Genomic DNA, 23,282 nt, shown 5'->3' on the forward strand with positions numbered 1-23,282 from the left:
ATCAATGTTAAATCTACTAAAATTTGATTACTGTGTTGTGGTTATGTGAGAGAATACTCTTTGACTCAGGAAATACACACTGAAGTATTTTGGAAAAGGGGCCACAATGTATAAAACTTACTCTTAAATGACTTAGAAAAAAATATATAGGTTTTATTATTTTGTTCACATGTATGCAAAGAGGGAGTACATGAATGATAAAGAAAATGGAATAAAATGTTAACAATAAGCGAATCTCAATAAAAGTTATAGGGTATTTTTAGCACTATCTTTATCTTTGCAACTTTCCTATGAGTTTGAAAATATCGTATATCCAAATAAAAAGTTAATGCTTTTTTTAAAAAGTCATTCTCAAGAAGGAGAGGTGCACAGCAAACTGCTTCTCCCCATTCTCTGGGAAAAGAATGAATTATCAGAGTCATTTAAAAAAATGATTTTGTATGATAAAAAGACTGGAAAACAATTCCAGTGACTTTAACAAGGCTACTGGGGGAATTCACATGTGCAATGAGAGAATTCCTATCACCTAAACCATACCCAAACTGAGAAACAGCCTTTCTATCATCATCTTACAATTTAGAATGATTAGTACCTTCATTGTAACACTCCAAACACCCAACACCCTCATTCTCCCCACTGCTTGCTATGTATTATTTGACAAGCAATTTAATCCCTATGTACTTCAGTTTCCTCACCTACATAATCACAACAAGGAAAGTCTCTCTCTCATTACAATGTTGTGAGGATTAAAAGAGATATAATGTGTTAAGTGCTTAGATTCATGCTTGGCACTTAAAAAACAGTCAGAAAATAAGTGTCCTCTAATATTATAATAACTATGATTAATTAAAGAAAAAAGGTGGTATAATAACTCATCAATCAAACCTTACCTTGAAAATGCAATGAATGAGAAATGGTAGAGGAACTTCTTCAGTAGACAGTTTGTATAATGATAAGTGAGCCCCAGTTCTCTGATGCTCCAAAGGCAGCCAGAATACCCATGCCACTGTTAGGGCTTCAGGGAAGCCCTGTTCCCCCAGTATCTCCTGGGCAGAATTCTCACATATAACATATATCAACATATAACATATATCAATCGAGACCAGAAGCCCAAGCGGAAGCCATTTTTAAAATGGAAGGTAAGCGTACTTTTAAAGTATTTTATCCATGTTAATATTTAATAAAACTTCATGAAGTTCTAGGTGGTACGGCAAAAGTGTACCTTTCAAAATAAAACGTTTAGATATATTATTTCCCATGAAATTTAGAAAAAATTCACTCACCATCTGAAATTTTCAAAGCCACAAAATGTGTCTTTTGTCCTTCAATTCACACTCTCAGCACAATTCCTGGCAGTACAATAAATTAACTCAGTCTTCTTTAATTTTGATACAATTTCCTGTAGGAGGACTATAGACTCCTGAAGATAATAACAGGATAAACTATTCCCAAACTGTCTCAAAAATCCGAGTATAAATTGTGCAGTTGCCAGATATGAAACAATGCATATATTATACAATTAATAAACTTGTTTATTAGAGTTTTCAAAACCTGGGTCCTAAGAGTAACATGTTTCCCTTCTTCCCATTCCATTTTCCATTCAGAGCAGCCACACAATTCTTCTTCAGCCAAAAGCTGTTGTGTAAATAGACACCAGGCATGCCTGCCCTATGTAGTCAGTGGACCTGCCCAGACATGTCCAAATCCCAGCTTCTATTTTGCTGGAATCCCCCCATGAATACTGGATGGTTCCTGGGTTTTGCCATCCTTAGACCTCAGATATCTTGGCTGGTATCACCAAGATTCCTGTGGCAGAGTCCTTCAGACACATACTCTTTGGATTAGACCAAATGTAGTCCTGGCAGTGCTGTGTCATTTTTCTATTTTAAGAAAATGGCCAGGGAACCAACTGGCAAGGTTGGGAGCCAGATACACTCCCACCAAATAAATATCTGTTGTACTCATTCCCCAAGGACTCAAGTCTCTGTCTAAAGAGCAAGTATACACTTTTCTTAAGAATATTGGGCCCTAAGAAGTTGTTAGAGGCAAAAGTCACAATCCTGGTGAGAAAGAGGGGGCTCTACATTGATTCCAGTTTGGAAAAAAAAGATCTTGATAAATTTCTTTTTCAGCACCAAAAAAAAAAAAACCAATGGGATGATAATGGTCATAGTACAACTCATAAGCAATGATAACAACAAAAGACCAAGATGAAGGCCAGTCTCTATAGTTTCTGGAGATTGCTGTGGGCTTATGGCTCAAATGACAGCAGGTTGCAGAGGTGTTAGATTATTCAAAAGGCAGCAACACCTGGGACTTCTAAGATAGAGTCAGTGCCCCAGGAGAAGTCATCAAATCGGACTTAAAGCACTTTCTTCATTGGGCATGTGGAACCAGAGCCCAGTCAATACAATTCCCAAATAGAAACAGTGCTGCTGAAGGTGTAGTGCCTAGACCAAGAACACCAGAAAGATCTGGGAGCTTGTTAGAAACACAAGTTCTTGAGCACTATCCCAGAACCACTGAATCTAATTTACTAGGGTAGGGTCTGGGAATCTATGTTTTAACAAGCTCTCCAAATGATTCTAATGTGTGTTAAGGTTTGAGGACCACTACTCTAGAATCATTTCAAGCTCCAAGTGAGCCCCAGTTCCCTGATGTTCCAAAGGCAGCCAGAATACCCATGCCTCTGGTAGGGCTTTAGGGAAGCCCTGTTCCCCCAGCGTCTCCTCGGCAGAATTCTCACATATAACTTGGTCCTGTGCTACAGGGATGTACCTGGTGGTGGCAAAGGCATTTGGCCATAAAAATCACAAGGCGTATGTTTCCTGATAGAATATTGTCATCGTCTACCATCTTCCCGGTGAGACATAGCTGGGTTGACTAAGAGGTGTAGACGCACCTTCACCATCGCTTCCAGCCATATTAATTAGGTGGTATGTTTGTCAAGAAGAGACTAGAATTTTGAATGAAGGGTAGTAACATTCCAACTCTGGTTTTTCACTAATTGGCGTTTGGTCCACTTCCCTTCTCTGGAACTTACCTACAATTTCTTGGAGTTCTGCATCATCCCTTAGGATACTACTTCAGCCTCATCCATGGGTCAGGAAACCAAAACTGCTATTTGCCTTACTACCTCTTCTAAGGACTGGGAGATCTAAGTAACCTGCTGCACTAGAAACATGGGCTCCAGGCAATGGTAAGTGAAACCTTCCAAGGGATGCATGCAGAATAACAATGCCCCAAGGTCCATTGCCTGAACTAAGAGGTGAAAGGGCCTCTCTCTCCATTTTCTTGCTATTCCACCCTTCCTGGTCTTGTATCATTTTCCACCTCAATCACCTCAACCATCCTCTTCACCAGAACCTTGGGTCTGTGAATACCTACCCATTTTTCCACACCCTCTGGCTGAAATCCTAACTACTAATGAGTGAAATCCACCTTCTTCACACCTATCCTATGCTGCAGAGCAACAGTGAAATCCTTCAGTGCCACTACACAAGTATGGGATCTGGTCTCAACTGGGTTATTTAGCCTCCTGAGCAGTATTTTATAAATACATATTTATATATTATATATATAATATATGTATATAATTACCCCAGAGTAGTTTTATTCATATACAATTATATATATAATATATGTATATAATTTTATATATATAATATATGTATATAATTTTATATATATAATATATGTATATAATTTTATATATATATATCTTCATCCCATCTCCCTCACTGGTATCTTTAAACTTTCTCCACCCTCTTCAAGCAGGCTTTTCACTCCCACTCCACTCACTATCAATGAACCTTAGCTTTTCTAACGAACTAGAAAAGAATTACCTCAGCTTCCTCCACTGTCATCATTAGCTGTAAGTTTGCCCAATGCCATACCTTTTCTAAGTTCCTTCGTTCTAATCTCAGAGAATCTTCCATTTCGTACTTTGTTTTCCACCACACCTTCTCGCTTCTCCTCTAGAAACTCACTCTATTAACAGACTTCACCTCCATCATTTTTAAGTTCCCCCCTTGAGTAGTTTTATTCATCTGAGCTTATAAATATACTTCACAGAATTTTAAAAATAAGATTATAGAAAATTGAAACAATATAATTATTAAAGTTTGCTTAATTAAAACATAGACATGTATATATACATATATAATACATACATACATACATAGTATATATATTATAAACATGTTTATTATATATATACTTGTTATATATAAACATGTTACATATATAAAACATGTTTATAATATATATATACTTCAGCCTTGGCTAGACCTTCAAAAAAAAAGCTTCTTTTGTCCAGGTGTGGTGACTCACACCTGTAATCTCAGAATTTTGGGAGGCAGAGGCAGGAGGATCTCTTGAGCCCAGGAGTCTGAGACCAGATCGGGCAATGTGGCAAAATCAAATGTCTATGAAAAATACAAAAATTAGCTGGGCATGGTGATACACACCTGTAGTCCCAGCTACTTGGGAGGCTGAGGTTGGAGGGTTACTTGAGCCCATGTGATGGCTAATATTAGGTGTCAGCTTGATTGGATTGAAGGACACCTAGATAGCTGGTAAAGTATTGTTTCTGGGTGTGTCTGTGAGGGTGTTGCCAAAGGAGATTAACATTTGAGTCACTAGCCTGGGAGAGGGAGACCCACCCTCGATGTGGGTGGACACCATCCAATCAGCTGCCAAGGCAGCCAGAACGAGGTGGGCAGGGTGGGATAAGCTGGCTCTCTGAGTCTTCTGGCTTTCATCTTTCCCCCATGCTGGATGATTACTGCCCTTGGACATCAGACTCAAGGTTCTTCGGCCTTTGGGCTGTTGGACTTACACCAGTGATTTGCCAGAGGATCTCGGACCTTTGGCCACAGACTGAAGGCTGCACTGTCGGCTTCCTTACTTTTGAGGTTTTAGGACTCGGACTGAGCCAGTACTGGATTCCTAGCTCCTCAGCTTGTAGATGGCCTATTGTGGGACTTCACCTTGTGATTGTGTGAGTTGATTCCTCTTAATAAACTTTCTTTCAAGTATACATGTATCCTATTAGTTCTGTCCGTATGGGGAACCCTGAGTAATACAGACTGGGAAATCGAGGCTTCAGTGAGCCATGATCGCACCACTGCACTCCAGCCTGGGTGACAGAATGAACTCTGTATCACAAAAAAAAAAAAAAAAAAAAAAAAAAAAAGCTTCTTTTATCTTCTTCTAGACACGACCCTCGGAGTAGTCTCCACTCTCTGTCTTCACTGCGTCAACTCTCTCTCATTCCTCAAACCACTGCAATTTGGTTTTTTCTCCTACTATTCTTCTGAAGAGACTTGACAAAGGTTACCAACGAATTCCAAGCGACCCTACATAATGGACACAAGGACACTATACTATCCGTATCTAATAAGACCACCCTTTGAATTGTACAGTGTTAACCAGGCTTCCCTCTTGTCAATTTCCCTGACTTTTGTATTCCCACTCCCTCATATCTCTCCATTTCTTACGGGTCTTCCTGATGACCTCATCTTCTCTCCAGTGAAGCAGGGATCAAAAACTGGCAACCCACAGGCTATACCTGACTTATATTTTATTAGGTCACTCAAATCTCTAAAATAATTTTGAATTAGTTGGTAATATTTAAAACTCAGGAAATTTCACCCAAAAAGTTAGACTTCTACTTTCTCTTGAAAAAATCTGAAGCCTGGGCATCACTGATTCTGAGACACGACACAGGCACAATCCCCAGGAGCAGGGAAACAGCAGCTCTCTCCTTTAGATGGGGTAAGTGTCCCCCAAGTCCACTGCACCGATCATTCTCCCTTTGTCCTTTGCCTGGTTTGCTTCACTTATCCACATTTCTTGACTCCCAAGTAAGCTAAGAATTCCATTCTCCAAAAAAATAATAAAAAGAAATGAACAAAGCCTCCAAGAAATATGGGACTAAGTGAAAAGACCAAATGTACATCTGATTGGTGTACCTGAAAGTGACGGGGAGAATGGAACCAAGTTGGGAAACACTCTGCAGGATATTATCCAGGAGAACTTCCCCAACCTAGCAAGGCAGGCCAACATCCAAATTCAGGAAATACAGAGAACGCCACAAAGATACTCGTCGAGAAGAGCAACTCCAAGACAAATAATTCTCAGATTCACCAAAGTTGAAATGAGGGAAAAAATATCAAGGGCAGCCAGAGAGAAAGGTCGGGTTACCCACAAAGGGAAGCCCATCAGACTAAGAGCTGATCTCTTGGCAGAAATGCTACAAGCCAGGAGAGAGTGGGGGCCAATATTCAACATTCTTAAAGAAAAGAATTTTCAACCCAGAATTTCATATCCAGCCAAACTAAGCTTCATAAGTGAAGGAGAAATAAAATCCTTTACAGACAAGCAAATGCTGAGAGATTTTGTCACCACCAGGCCTGCCCTAAAAGAGCTCCTGAAGGAAGCACTAAACATGGAAAGGAACAACCAGTACCAGCCACTGCAAACACATGCCAAGTTGTAAAGGCTGTTGAGGCTAGGAAGTAACTGCATCAACTAACGAGCAAAATAAGCAGCTAACATCATAATGACATGATCAAATTCACACATAACAATATTACCCTTAAATGTAAATGGGCTAAATGCTCCAATTAAAAGACACAGACTAGCAAATTGGATAAACAGTCAAGACCCATCAGTGTGCTGTATTCAGGAAACTCAACTCACATGCAGAGACACACATAGGCTCAAAATAAAAGGATGGAGGAAGATCTACCAAGCAAATGGAAAACAAAAAAAGGCAGGGGTTGCAATCCTAGTCTCTGATAAAACAGACTTTAAACCAACAAAGATCAAAAGAGACAAGGCCATTACATAATGGTAAAGGGATCAATTCAACAAGAAGAGCTGACTATCCTAAATATATATGCACCCAATACAGGAGAACCCAGATTCATAAAGCAAGTCCTTAAAGACCTACAAAGAGACTTAGACTCCCACACAATAATAATGGGAGACTTTAACACCCCACTGTCAACATTAGACAGATCAACGAGACAGAAACTTAATGAGGATATCCAGGAATTGAACTCAGCTTTGCACCAAGTGGACCTAATAGATATCTACAGAACTCTCTACCCCAAATCAACAGAATATACATTCTTCTCAGTACCACAACACACTTATTCCAAAATTGACCACATAGTTGGAAGTAAAGCACTCCTCAGCAAATGTAAAAGAACAGAAATTGTAACAAACTGTCTCTCAGACCACAGTGCAATCAAACTAGAGCTCAGGATTAAGAAACTCCCTCAAAACCACTCAACTATATGGAAACTGAACAACCTGCTCCTGAATGACTACTGTGTACATAACGAAATGAAGGCAGAAATAAAGATGTTCTTTGAAACCAATGAGAACAAAGACACAACATACCAGAATCTCTGGGACACATTTAAATCATTGTGTAGAGGGAAATTTATAGCACTAAATGCCCACAAGAGAAAGCAGGAAAGATCTAAAATTGACACCCTAACATCACAATTAAAAGAAGTAGAGAAGCAAGAGCAAACACATTCAAAAGCTAGCAGAAGGCAAGAAATAAATAAGATCAGAGCAGAACTGAAGGAGATAGAGACACAAAAAACCCTTCAAAAAATCAATGAATCCAGGAGCTGGTTTTTTGAGAAGATCAACAAAATTGAAAGACTGCTAGCAAGACCAATAAAGAACAAAAGAGAGAAGAATCAAACAGACACAATAAAAAATGATAAAGGGGATATCACCACCGATCCCACAGAAATACAAACTACCATCAGAAAATACTATAAACACGTCTACGCAAATAAATTTGAAAATCTAGAAGAAATGGATAAATTCCTGGACACATACACCCTCTCAAGACTAAACCAGGAAGAAGTAGAATCTCTGAATAGACCAATAACAGGCTCTGAAATTGAGACAATCATTAATAGCTTACCAACCAAAAAAAGTCTAGGACCAGATGGATTCACAGCCGAATTCTGCCAGAGGTACAAGGAGGAGCTGATACCATTCCTTCTGAAACTATTCCAATCAATAGAAAAAGAGGGAATCCTCCCTAACTCATTTTATGAGGCCAGCATCATCTTGATACCAAAGCCTGGCAGAGACACAACAAAAAAAAGAGAATTTTACACCAATATCCCTGATGAACATCGATGCAAAAATCCTCAATAAAATACTGGCAAACTGAATCCAGCAGCACATCAAAAAGCTTATCCACCATGATCAAGTGGGCTTCATCCCTGTGATGCAAGGCTGGTTCAACATACACAAATCAATAAACGTAATCCAGCATATACACAGAACCAACAACAAAAACCACATGATTATCTCAAAAGATGCAGAAAAGGCCTTTGACAAAATTCAACAACACTTCATGCTAAAAAACTCTCAATAAATTAAGTATTGATGGGACATATCTCAAAATAATAAGAGCTATCAATGACAAACCCACAGCCAATATCATACTGAGTGGGCAAAAACTGGAAGCATTCCCTTTGAAAACTGGCACAAGACAGGGATGTCCTCTCTCACCACTCCTATTCAACATAGTGTTGGAAGTTCCGGCTAGGGCAATCAGGCAGGAGAAGGAAATAAAGGGTATTCAATTAGGAAAAGAGGAAGTCAAATTGTCCCTGTTTGCAGATGACATGATTGTATATCTAGAAAACTCCAGTCGTCTCAGCCCAAAATCTCCTTAAGCTGATAAGCAAATTCAGCCAAGTCTCAGGATATAAAATCAATGTGCAAAAATCACAAGCATTCTTATACACCAATAACAGACAAACAGAGAGCCAAATCATGAGTGACCTCCCATTCACAATTGCTTCAAAGAGAATAAAATACCTAGGAATCCAATTTACAAGGGACGTGAAGGACCTCTTCAAGGAGAACTACAAACCACTGCTCAATGAAATAAAAGAGGATACAAAAAAATGGAAGAACATTCCATGCTCATGGGTAGGAAGAATCAATATTGTGAAAATGGCCATACCACCCAAGGTAATTTATAGATTCAATGCCATCCCCATCAAGCTACCAATGACTTTCTTCAAAGAATTGGAAAAAACTACTTTAAAGTTAATATGGAACCAAAAAAGAGCCTGCATAGCCAAGTCAATCCTAAGCAAAAAGAACAAAGCTGAAGGCATCACACTACCTGACTTCAAACTATACTACAAGGCTACAGTAACCAAAATAGCATGGTACTGGCACCAAAACAGAGATATAGACCAATGGAACAGAACAGAGGCGCCAGAAATAATGCCTCATATCTACAACTATCTGATCTTTGACAAACCTGACAAAAATAAGAAATGGGGAAAGAATTCCCTATTTAATAAATCGTGCCAGGAAAATTGGCTAGCCATATGTAGAAAGCTGAAACTGGATCCCTTCCTTACACCTTATACAAAAATTAATACAAGATGGATTAAAGACTTAAATGTTAGACCTAAAACCATAGAAACCCTAGAAGAAAACCTAGGCAATACCATTCAGGACATAGGCATGGGCAAGGACTTCACAGCTAAAACACCAAAAGCAATGGCAACAAAAGCCAAAATTGACAAATGGGATCTAATTAAACTAAAGAGCTTCTGCACAGCAAAAGAAACTACCATGAGAGTGAACAGGCAACCTACAGAATGGGAGAAAATTTTTGCAATCTAGTCATCTGACAAAGGGCTAATATCCAGAATCTACAATGAACTCAAACAAATTTACAAGAAAAAAACAAACAACCCCATCAGCAAGTGGGCGAAGAATATGAACAGACACTTCTCAAAAGAAGACATTTATGCAGCCAAAAGACACATGAAAAAATGCTCATCATCACTGGCCATCAGAGAAATGCAAATCAAAACCACAATGAGATACCATCTCACACCAGTTAGAATGGCCATCATTAAAAAGTCAGGAAACAACAGGTGCTGGAGAGGATGTGGAGAAATAGGAACACTTTTACACTGTTGGTGGAACTGTAAACTAGTTCAACCATTGTGGAAGTCAGTGTGGCGATTCCTCAGGGATCTAGAACTAGAAATACCATTTGACCCAGCCATCCCATTACTGGGTATATACCCAAAGGATTATAAATCATGCTGTTATAAAGACACATGCACACATATGTTTACTGCAGCACTATTCACAATAGCAAAGACTTGGAACCAACTCAAATGTCCATCAGTGATAGACTGGATTAAGAAAATGTGGCACATATACACCATGGAATACTATGCAGCCATAAAAAAGGATGAGTTCATGTCCTTTGTAGGGACATGGATGAAGCTGGAAACCATCATTCTCAGCAAACTATCGCAAGGACAAAAAACCAAACACCGCATGTTCTCACTCATAGGTGGGAATTGAACAATGAGAACACATGGACACGGGAAGGGGAACATCACACACTGGGGCCTGTTGTGGGGTGGGGGGAGGGGGAGAGATAGCATTAGGAGATATACCTAATGTAAATGACGAGTTAATGGGTGCAGCACACCAACATGGCACATATATACATATGTAACAAACCTGCATATTGTGCACATGTACCCTAAAACTTAAAGAATAAAAAAAAAAAGAATTCCATTCTCCACTCCTTCACTTGTCAATCTATAGAATCTTCTGTGTATGTCTCAGTATACAAATATAATCAAGTGTTTAAATGAAATCCATATGCTAGCCACTGCAGATCTCTATGACCAATCCTGGTATTTTATTGATCACACTTCTTCTTTTTTCTTTTCTTTTTTTTTTTTTGAGACAGAGTCTTGCTCTGTCACCCCGGATGGAGTGCAGTGGTGCAGTCTCGGCTGACTGCAACCTCCGCCTCCCAGGTTCACTCTATTTTCCTGCCTCAGCCTCCTGAGTAGCTGGGACTGCAGGCGCCCAACACCAAGTCCAGCTAATTTTATGTATTTTTAGTGGAGATGGGGTTTCACCATGTTAGCCAGGATGGTCTCTATCTCCTTACTTTGTGATCCGCCCGCCTTGGCCTCCCAAAGTGCTGGGATTACAGGAGTGAGCCACCGCGCCCGGCCTGATCACACTTCTTCTATGATCAGGAAACTGCACCTCTGCAACAGACCCACAGAACCTACTGCCTCTGCTGAATGAATGCCCTTTACCTTGCTTGTTTCCCCACAAAGATTCCTTCCAAATCAAAATTTTATGGGAGTACGTCTGACTGATGCGGCTAAGTTCCTACAAGGGAAGCTGGGAAATGTAAGATTACCTAAATTCTAAATTGGGAGGTGGGATTCAGCATAGAGAAGTAAAACATTGTAGGAAGGGTGTCCCAAAGATCTTGGCAGCCACAGTGATAGGTAGACACTACTAGATGAACCAAATAAAAGATTAGTATTGCTGAGCATGGTGGTTCACACCTGTAATCTCAGCACTTTGGGAGGCTGTGGCAGGAGCATTGCTTGAGGCCAGGAGTTCAAGACCAGCCTGGGCAACATAGCAAGACTTTGTCTCTACAAAAAAAAATATATATATATATATATATACACACACACACACACACACACACACACACACATATGCAAGGCATGATGTTGCACACCTGTAGTCCCAGCTACTCAGGAGGATAAGGTGAGATGATCCCTTGAGCCCAGAAGCTGGAGGCAGCAGTGAGGTATGCTTGCCCTACTACTCTCCAGCCTGGGTGACAGACCAAGACCCTAGCTCAAAAAACAAACCAACAAACAAACAAAAACAAAATAGGGATTAAGTGGTTAAAGATAAGACTGCAAGTGGCTACCGCCAAAGAGAAAGAACAAAATTCATCAATAGGTTCAAGGGTATTTTCTCAGGAGCATACAACAACCAGAAGCCATTCACAATCTACTACAAGCCAAATGCTCCATTTAGTAAGACAGCCGCCTCCAAATGATGCATTGTTGCAACACAATTCAGAGGAACGTGGGGAAGACAGAGAACTAGAGCAGAGAACAGCAACAGCAGGAAGACACAGTGAGAAGCAATCTCCCAAATAACAAACAAAAGCAATCAGCATTTGGCAGAATATTGTGTAAACAAAAGCTTCCTGAACTCCAGCCTCTAGTGGATCAGTGCAGGAGCTAGTGTTTACAAACACATCATTGAGGAGTCAAGGTAAGGGTAACCTCAAGCAAAGACTAGAAAAGTAAGAATTCTCAGATAATAATAAAAATCCTTACATGGGAAAATCAGGTCTCCAGTGCTAATGACATATGCCAGAGAACTAGATGATAGAAAGACAAAGAACCAGATTAGGCTAAACATTTTCCTTCACTATTATCTAGGAACAGGTAATGAATACAGACTAATGTAGCATCATGAGGGTTATTTGTTTGATTAATTAGTTGATTATTTACTGTTCAAAATTTTCCTGAAGTGCTTTTACATCTTATGGGCCAAATTACACCTAAACAAAAACTCACAGGTGTCATTATTTATGTTTTATAATAGGAGTCGGGGGATCAACTGTAATATTTTCAAAATTCTTACATAGGACCTCAGTATTAATGTAAAATTTCAATAGTCAATTAGGAGGAAAATATAAACAAATTTATATTAACATGTAATAAGTCAATATAAAATTGAGAATTTGTCAGAGAAAGACTACACTTTAAAAAATTCACCCGGATGTCCAGAATAGAAAAGTCTATAGAGACAGGAAGATTCCAGGTTTCCAGGAGCTAAAAGAATGGGAGAGAAATGGTAAACGACTACTAACAGGTACAGGAATTCTTTTTAGGACAGTAAATACATTCTAAAATCGATGGCAGTGATGGTTCTGTTACTGGCAGCAAATCCTTATCTGTATGGGGTCTGCAGCAACCTCAATTCTTGCCTCCTCTGAAGAAAGAATTTGACTGAGGGGCATAAGGCAAAAGGAGAGACAGAGGCAAATTTTAGAGCAGGAGTGAAAGTTTATTAAAAAGCCTTAGAGCAGGACAGAAAAAAAGTAAAGTACACTTGGAAGCATGCCAAGCGGGTACCTTGAGAGATCAAGTGCATGGTTTGACCTTTTGACTTGGGGTTTTGTATGTTGGCATGCTTCTGGGGTCTTGCTTTCCTTCTCCCCTAATTCTTCCTTGGGAAGGGCTGTCCGCATGCACAGTGGTCTGCTAGCAATTGGGAGGGGAGCATGCACAGCGTGTTTATTGGAGTTGTATGCATGCTCACTTGAGGTGTTCTTCCCTTGCCAGTCAAATCTTCCTAGGAGGTCATACACCAGTTAAACTCTGTCATTTTGCCTTTGAATGCACATGCTTGAGCCCTCTTGCCAAGCTCCTGAGATCTCATCGGGAAGCTGCTGACCAACATTTCATGTGTTTTCTAACTATTGGGAGACTCCCTTCTCTGGCTCCAGCGTGACCAATTATTATTTTAGAGAGACCGTTAACAACTGCCTGACCATCATCTGATGGTCACCTGACATTCCGTGTGGTAATGGGGGGTGAGGGGGGCCCTCTCCTGCCCTGCTCATGTCTGACTAGCTACCTACTGTAACAGTACTGAAATAAGTGCACTATTTCAGAGATGGTGGGGAAAGAAGTCAGGATTCTAGGGGAAAAAGACTTAATTTACCAAAGCACACTCTTCCATTAGCATCACTAAAAAACTTCTCAAACTAGGGAAATGATAAATTTCTGGGTCTTATCATATACTATTTTTGTCCTAAAAGCCTTACCATAAAAATTAAAACTACAACAACCAGAGTCACATGAAAATTTTACCAAAGCAGAGAAAATAATTTTGGTCCCGCATGGCTGTCAGTCTGGAGGCAATTAATTATTATATTCCATGTTTTTATTGGTGTGTTGCGAAGTTTCATCACACAAAAGTTCATTTTTCCCTTTTGCATGTTAAGTGATAATGGAAAAGAAAATTATTATTATAAAACACTTTAATCTACGTAATGCTTTAGTTGTACTTGTTCTACTTCATAATGGAAAAGTATACAACTGTTTTGCAAATATATTTATATACCTTCATTTTTTCTGATAAGAGCAAATTATTTTTTCTTTAAGAAAAATTTTCACACCTAAAATAAGAATGTATTATTTTCCACTTAGAAACTAAGTAGAAAACTAGATTCTGTCATCTGAATGTTAATTTTGTTTTACTAATTTAAATTATTTTCACCAATTACAATTTTTTAATTGCAGCTTTTCCTTCCAAAATGTGGGTGGAGTAAAGAGTTAACTATGTGTTTTCTCCCGAACACAATCTTTCACAATATCCTCCAATCTTATCCATATTCTTATTGTTTAAAATTGAATGTGCACTTTATTTTCAGATTTTAATTTGTTAATTTAGTTCCTCTGGGATGAAAAGAAGTTGAAAATTTATGCAAACACTTTGTTGTCTGTCTAGAATATTAATTACATATCTATAGATATAATATGCCACATACTATAGCAATGATGCATATGCATATATAACAAACAGATATCCAGAGATAATCTTTCCTTGAAACCCTACATCAGTTCATATAGGGCTCCTCTGTCACCCAAAGCCAGCTGGGGTTCAGACAGACCAAGGTTACTAGCAGCTTACATGACAGAGAAACACATACACATTGCATCACATTGGGATTTGCCCAGAGGATTTTAATACATGTAGTACAATGCTGTGTGCACTGATTATTATTATCATTATTTTTTGCACTTCCACTCCCCATCCGTTCTCCATCCTTCTCTCTCCTCCTCCATGCCCTGGAAGGGTGAGCCCTGGAGACATCATCTCCCATACCCCCATGGGAGCTGGTTTCCGTCTAGATTTGGCCAGGCTGCTGAGAAGAAAGCAGATCATGGGAAGCTAGGGATGTAAGAGACTGACTCATTTCTGCCTCTCTGCTCCAGCACCACCTCTCTAATAGTAGCTGATTTCTTCCAGGACTACCCAGGAAAAGCACAGTGGCCTTATCTACAGGTTCCCAGCTCTCTTAGCTCCAGAAACTCTGTGCCCACCCATCCTTACCCCCACACCAATCCTTTCCTTTCTAGCGAAACATCCCTTTTTTACCACCCTCACCCCAGCACACACCTCTGTGAGTAGTTCAGCCATGACTGTGGGTTTTTCCTAGCCTATCTAGGTGAATTCTGTTTTCCAACCAGAACCGCGCCTGACAGAGGAGCCATCTAAGACTTCCCATCCAGACCTGATTTTTGGTTGATCAATCCTTAATTCATATAGGAAAAAGGAGAGAGAAAACACTAAGGGAGAAAATCATTTCTCTACCACAACCCGATACGACTGCATCTCAATTTGTTCCACCATATTTCATATCATTTAAAAACACCACTTTCCTGACACTGCTTCTAAATGTTGAATCCTTACCCAATACATCTGAATGTCTGCATTTTTTTTTTTTTATCTAATTTAGAGAGTACAGCAGTTTCTCAGATGGGAAATAGGCAGTAAAGACAGGTGGCTTCCACTGAAAACCAAAATGAGATTTCATGAGTCCTCTTCAGCCATTTTATTAGCACACTCTGATTTTAGGGCTGAAGCAATCTGTTCCACCACCCCTCTGTTCAGACTTGTTTCCAGGACCACAGTACCAATTTGTCTGAAAGCAAAAGTTTTCTGCTGTGTTTTTGATAATGAATCTGCTATAAGCACATTTTATTTTCTTGCACAACTGAGGCGAGAACTCTAGACTCAGAATCTGCTACATTTTTTAATTAACAAAGGAATTTATCCTATTTATTTAATGGAGAGAAAGTCTTTTGTGGTGGTGTATGCCTGTACTCTCAGGTACTCAGGAGGCTGGAGGAGTTCAAGGTCAACCTGGACAAAACAGCAAGACCAAGACCCCATATCTAAAATAAAAAAAAGAAAAACTATAATGGGGTCAGTAAGATCATAGTCAGCGTGTTAATTATCACAAGATAGGTTAATAAATTCACATTGCTAAGGCAAATATTTAAAACCAAGTAAATAAACATAACTCAGATAACAAATATTCTGTCACATTGTTTCTTATAGTCAGTATAAACATGCTTTGAGATTAACATAGCCTTAAGACTATAGGTTACAATTGTTAAGAAAAAAAAAAAAACCTGTATTTAGAAGCCGCATATCATAGAAAGCTCCCTGCTCTTAATAAAAATTTTAAGGAACCATAATTGTGTTTAAAAGAGACAACATTCCTATAAAATAGAAGAACTTTGCTCCTCCTCCCACCCTAGGCGGAGAGTTATTTGTATATTGTGTTCTTAAAATCACCAAATATAAGCACTTATTTGAAAGAAAAGAAGGCCAATTGATTTGATATGAAATGCATGCATACCATGGCTGTAAAACTTAAAAGGAACAAAAGAATATGTAGGGAAAAGAAAGTATGTTTCTCTCCTACCCCAAGACCCTGGCCATCAAGTTCTCCTCCCCAGAAGCAACTAACGTTACCAGTTTTCTGTATATTTTTCAGAAATATTCAGTGCATAAGCAAGCATGTAACTATATTTTCATTTGTTTTTCATAAATTATAACATACTAGATATTCTATCGTACAGTTTGCTTTGATACTTCTTATATCATACAGATTATTCCACATCAGTATACAGTTGGCTTATTTTTTTTTATTTACTTTTATTTTTTTTTGAGACACAGTCTCGCTCCGCCACCCAGACTGGAGTGCAGTAGTGCGATCTTGGCTCACTGCAAGCTCCGCCTCCGGGGTTCACACCATTCTCCTGCCTCAGCCTCCCGAATAGCTGGGACTACAGGCGCCTGCCACCACGCCCACCTAATTTTTTGTACTGTTAGTAGAGACGGGGTTTCACTGTGTTAGCCAGGATGGTCTTGATCTCCTGACCTCGTGATCCGCCCGCCTCGGCCTCCCAAAGTGCTGGGATTAGAGGCATGAGCCACCACCGCACCCAGCAGTTGGCTTATTTTTAACATAAAGATACATAGTTAAATTGCATAGGTGTACCACAACTTAGTCTATTTTTAGACATTTAGATTGTTTCCAGTATTTTGATATTTTAAACAACGATGCTTCAAATAGGAAAGAATATATATTCTAATATATCTACATATTCATGTAGATATACATATTAGAATTAATTCCTAGAACTGTAATTTCTGTCAAAGGATAGGCATGTTCTACATTTTGACAATGGAAATATATGGTAGAAATTTAATCAATGATAAAGATTTAAGGTAGGAAAATCTAATTGGAATTCAAGATCTAAATGTCTGAAAATATATAAAGTGAATAGCCAAAATATCTGTTTTAAAAATGTAAGCTTTTTATAGTTAAACAGAGACAAACTAGTAATCAGTGGGGTTTAACTTGGTTTGAGAATGAGAATAATAATATAGAAATCTTGGGAAATAATTATCAACCTTTGGAGTAACTAAAACTAGTTCTACATGGATGTTTCATTTAGTCTTTTCTAAAGTGGAGAAAAAAATGTAGGCAGAGTAATTCAAAGTCATGTCTTGTTCTCTTTTTTAAAAATTATTTGTTTTTAATTCTTATGAGTACATTGTAGGTGTATATATTTATAGGTTACATGACATATTTTTATACAGCCATGCATGTATAATAACCACATCAGGGTAAATGGGATATCCATCACCTCAAGCATTTATCTTTTGTGTTTCAAACAATCCAGTTATACTCTTAGCTATTTTTAAATGTACAATAAATTATTGTAGACTGTAGTCACCTTGTTGTACTATCAAATACTAGACCTTATTCATTCTATCTAATTAAATTTTTGTACCTATTAACCATCCCTACTTCTCTCCCATCCCCATACCGACTATCCTTCCCAGACTCTGGTAACTATCTGTATTAGTCCGTTCTCACACTGCTATAAAGAACTATCCGAGACTGGGTAATTTATGAAGAAAAGAAATTTAATTGACTCACCGTTCTGCAGACTGTGTAAGAGGCATGACTGGGGAGGCCTCAGAAAACTAACAATCATGGTGGAAGGTAAAGGGGATGCAAGTATGTCTTCACAGGGCAGCAGAGGAGAAAGAGCAAAAGGGGAAGTGCTACACACTTTTAAACAACCAGATCTCATGATAAGTCATCCACTATTATGAGAACAGCAGGGGTGGAGCCACCCCCATGATTTAATTACCTCCCACCAGACCCACTTCTAACACTGGGAATTACAATTTGACATGAGATTTGGGTAGGAACACAGCACCAAGCTATATCATTCCACCCCGGGCACCTCCCAATTATCATGTTTCAAAACAAAATCATGCCTTCCCAACAGTCCCACAAAGTCTTAATTCATTCCATCACTAACTCAAAACTCCAAGCCCAAAGTCTTATCTAAGTCACGGCAAGTCCCTTCTGCTTATGAACCTGTAAAGTCAAAAACAAGTTAGTTACTTTCAAGGTACAATAACAGTATAGGCATTGAGTAAATGCTCCCCTTCCAAAAGGGCGAAATCAGCCAAAACGAAGGAGCTACAAGCCACATGCAAGTCTGAAACCCAGCAGAGTCATCATTAAATCTTAAAGCTCCAAATTAATCTTCTTTGACTTCATGTCTCATATCCAGGCAACACTGATGCAAGTGATGGTTTTCCAAAGTGTGGGCATCTTCATTCCTATGGCTCTGCAGGGTACAGCCCCTGTGGCTGCTTTCATGAGCTGGCATTGAGTGACTGTGGCTTTTCCAGGGGCAAAATGAAAGCTGTGGGTGGATCTACCATTCTGGGGTCTGGAAGACATTGGCCCTGTTCTCACAGCTCCACTAGGCATTGTCCCAGTGAGGATTCTGTGTGGGAGCTCCAATCCCATATTTCCCCTTGGCACTGCCCCAGTAGAGGTTCTCCATGAGGCCTCCACCCCATGATAGACTTTTGCCTCGACATCCAGGCTTTTCCATATGGCCTCTGAAATCTAGATGGGGACTTCCAAGCCTCAATTCTTGCCCTCTGTGCACCCCCTGGCCCATCATCACATGGAAGCCACCAAAGCTTGTGGCTTATACTCTCAAAGCAATGGCCTGAATTGTACTTTGGCCCTTTTAGCCATGCCTGGAGCTGGAGCGGCTGGGATGTAAGGCATCATGTCCTGAGGCTGCACAGAGCAGCTGGGCCATGGGCCCAGCCCATGAAACCATTTTTCCCTCCTAGGCCTCCAGGCCTGTGAAGGGAGGGGCTGTCGCAAGATGCCCCAGGGGCATTTTCCCTATTTTCTTGGCTATTAACGTTCAGCTCTTCATTACTTATTCAAATTTCTGCAGCCTTGAATTCCTTCCCAGAAAATGAGTCAGGCTGCAAATTTTCCAAACTTTTATTCTCTGCTTTCCTTTTTTTTTTTTTTTTTTTTTTTTTTTTTTTTTTTTGAGATGGAGTCTCGCTCTTGTTGTCAAGGCTGGAGTTCAATGGCACGATTTCAGCTCACTGCAACGTCTGCCTCCTGGGTTCAAATGATTCTCCCGCCTCAGCCTCCCAAGTAGCTTGGATTACAGGCATGAACCACCACCCCTGGCTAATTTTGTATTTTTGGTAGAGATGGAGTTTCTCCACATTGGTCAGGCTGGTCTCGAACTCCCAACCTCAGGTGATCTGCCTGCCTCAGCCTCCCAAAGTGCTGGGATTACAGGCATGAGCCACTTTGCTCAGCCTCTCTGCTTCCCTTTTAAACATAAGTTCCAGTTTCTGATAATCTTTTTGCTGTTAGAAGCAACCAGGCCAAATATTGAACACTTTGCTGATTAGAAATTTCTTCTGCCAGATATCCTAAATCCTCTCTCTCAAGTTCAAAGCTCCACAAATTTTTAGAGCAGGGGCACAATGCCACCAGTTTCTTTACTAAAGCATAGCAAGAGTATTCCAGTTCCCATGAAGTTCCTCATCTCCATCTGAGAACACCTCAGCCTGGACTTCAATATCCATACCACTATAAGCATTTTGATCGCAACAATTTAACAAGTATCTAGGAAGTTCCAAACTTTCCCTCATTTTCCTGTCTTCCTCTGAGCTCTCCAAGCTGCTCCAACCTCTGCCTTTTACCCAGTTCCAAAGTCACTTCCACATTTCCAGCTATCTTCATAGTGATGCCCCACTTCTCTGGTTCCAATTTTCTGTATTAGTTCATTGTCACACATTGTCATTGAAGAACTACCTGAGATCGAGTAATTTATTTTTTTTGAAAAAGAGGTTTAATTACCTCACAGCTCTGCAGGATATACAGGAGGCATGGCTGGGAGGCCTCAAGAAACTTACAATCATGGCAGAAGCAAAAGGGAAAGCAGGCATATCCTCACAGGGCAGAGCAGGAGAGAGAGAGAGAAGAGGGAGGTACTAACACTTTCAAACAACCAGATCTCATGAACACTCTGTCATGAGAACAGCAAGGGGGAAGTTCACTCTTATGATTCAATAATCTCCCACCAGGCTCCTCCTCCAACACTGGGAGTTACAATTTGACATAAGGTTTGAGTGATGACACAGAGCCAAACCATATCACCATTCTTTTACTCTCTATCCTCATGAGTTCAATTGTTTTAATTTTTAGCTCCCACCAATAAGTGAGAACATGCAATGTTTGTCTTTATGTGTCTGACTTACTTCACTTAACATAATGACCTCTACTTCCATCCATGTTGTTGCAAAGGACAGGTTTTTATTCTTTTTATGGCTGAATAGTACTCCATTGTGTATATGTAACATATTTTTAATCCATTCTACTTTTTTGATGTTGGCACTTATAGCTATAAACTTTTCCCCTTAGTTATGCTTTTGCTGAATCTACAGATTTTAGTATGTTAGGGTTCCATTTTCATTTGTTTCAGGAAATTTTTCTATTTCCTTCTTAATTTCTTCATTTCTCCACTGGTCATTCAGAAGTACATTGTTTAATTTCCACACTTGCACAGCTTCCAAAATTCCTCTTGTTATTTATTTCTAGTTTTATTCCATTGTGGTCAAAGAACAGGCTGGATATTACTTTAATTTTTTGAATATTGTAAGACTTGTTTTGTGACCTAACATGCGGTCTATCCTTGAGAATAATCCATGTGCAAAGGAAAACAAAATATATTCTGCAGTCATTAGATGAAATGTTCCATAAATAACTGTTAGGTCAATTTGGGCAATAATGCAGATTAACTTTGATGTTTCTTTGTTGATTGTCTGGAAGGTCTGTCCAATGCTGGAAGAGGGGTGCTTAAGTCTCCAGCTAATATTGTTTTGGAGTCTATCTCTCTCTTTAACTATAGTAATATTTGCTTTATATATCTAAGTGCCCCAGTGTTGGGTGCATATATATTTACAGTTGTTATATCCTGTTGCTGAATTAGCCCCTTTATCACTATATAGTGACCTTCTTTGTCCATTTTTAGTTTCTGTCTTGAAATCTATGTTGCCTGTTATAAATACAGAGCCTCCTGGGGTTTTCTGGTTTTCATTGACATGGGATGTGTTTTTTAATCTTTTTATTTCAGTCTATACGTGTCTTTAAAGGTAAAATCTGTTTCTTGTAGGCAACAGATCAGTAGGTCTCTTTTCTTACCCATTTAGCCACCCTGTCTTTTGATTGGAAAGTTTAGTCCATTTATTAAAGAATCTGTGTGCTTGGGGAGGGAGAAGGCAGAGAGGCAGAGACTATGCATTATTCAATGTTATTATTGACAAGTCAGGACTTACTTGTGCCATTTTGTTATTTGTTTTCTGGTTGTTTTGTGGTTTTCTCTTCCTTCATTCTTTCCTTCCTGTCTTCCTTTTAGTGAAGATGATTTTCTCTGGTATATGATTAATTTCTTGCTTTTTATTTTTTTTGTGTCTGTTGTATGTTTTTTGATTTGAGGTTACCATGAGGCTTGCAAATACTATCTTATAACCTATTTTAAGCTCATAAAAACTTAACATCATTTGCATAAACAAAAACAAAAAAAAGGAAAACTAATAAAAACTCTACACCTTAACTTTGTCTCCCTGCTTTTTAACTTTTTGTTGTTTCTATTTACATCTTATTGTACAATGTCTTGAAAAGTTGTTTTCATTTTTTTTTTTTTTTTTGGTTCATTGCTTAGTCTTTCTATTTAAGATAAGATTAGTTTACACAGTGCAGTTAAGGTGTTATAATATTCTGTGTTTTCCTGTGTACTTATTATTACCAGTGAGCTTTGTACTTTCAGATGACTTCTTATTGCTCATTAACATCCTTTTCTTTCTGATTGAAGTACCCTTTTTGCATTTCATGTAGGACAGGTCTGGTGTTAAGGAAGTCCTTCAGCTTTTTCTTGTCTCAGAAAGTCTTTATTTCTCTTTCATGCTTAAAGGATATTTTCACCAGGTATATTATTCTAGGATAAAAGTTTTTTTCCTTCAGCACTTTAAATATGTCATGCCACTTTCTCCTGGCCTGTAACATTTCCACTGAAAAGTCTGTTGCCAGATATATTGGAGCTCCTTCATATGTAATTTGTTCCTTTTCTCTTGCTGTTTTAGGATGTTTTCTTTATCCTTGACTTTTAGGAGTTTATTTAATGGCTTGATGTTCTCTTTTGGATTAAATCTGCTTGGTGTTCTATAACCATCTTGTACTTGGACATTGTTATCTTTTTCTAGGTTTGGAAAGTTCTCTGCTATGACCCCTTTGAATAAACTTTCTACCCCTATCTCTTTTTCTACCTCCTTTCTAAGACCAATAACTCTTAGATTTGCCCTTTTGAAGCTGTTTTCTAGATCTTTCAGACATGCTTCGTTCTTTTTTATTCTTTTTTCTTTTGTCTTCCCTGACTGTGTATTTTCAAATAGCCTCTGTTCAAGCTCACTAGTTCTTCCTTCTGCTTGAACAATTCTGCTATTAAAAGACTTGGATGCATTCTTCAGTATGTCAGTTGCATTTTTCAACTCCAGAATTTCTGCTTTATTATTTTTAACTATTTCATTCTCTTCATTAAATTTTTCTGATAGAATTCTGAATCCCTTCTCTGTGTTATCTTGAATTTCTTTGAGTTTCCTCAAAACAGCTATTTTGGATTTTTCGTCTGAAAGATCACATATTTCTCTTTCTCCAGAACTGGTCACTGGTGTTTTATTTAGTTTGCTTAGCAAGGTCATATTTTCCTGGATGGTCTTGATGCTAGCAGATGTTTGTCAGTGTCTGGGCATTGAAGAGTTAGGTATTTATTATAGTCTTCACAGTCTGGGCTTATTTGTACCCATCCTTTTTGGGAAGGCTTCCCAGGTATTCAAAAGGACTTGACTGTTGTGATGTAAGCCATATCTGCATTAGGGACACCCAAAGCCCAGTAACACTGTGGTTCTTGCAG

The 23,282-nt window shown here is 38.9% G+C and overlaps 1 annotated feature.

Annotated features, from left to right (window-relative positions):
* Positions 1,314-2,513: an enhancer, noted in NCBI's record as "MED14-independent group 3 enhancer chr5:52786330-52787529 (GRCh37/hg19 assembly coordinates)". NCBI's record gives its function as "activates an origin of replication core promoter dependent on BRD2, BRD4, P300/CBP and CDK7 cofactors, and independent of MED14, by STARR-seq in HCT116 cells {active_cell/tissue: HCT116}" and the evidence as "EXISTENCE:reporter gene assay evidence [ECO:0000049][PMID:35650434]".

The sequence above is a fragment of the Homo sapiens genome, chromosome 5 (genome assembly GCF_000001405.40).
Source record: "Homo sapiens chromosome 5, GRCh38.p14 Primary Assembly".
NCBI classification, from domain to species: domain Eukaryota; kingdom Metazoa; phylum Chordata; class Mammalia; order Primates; family Hominidae; genus Homo; species Homo sapiens.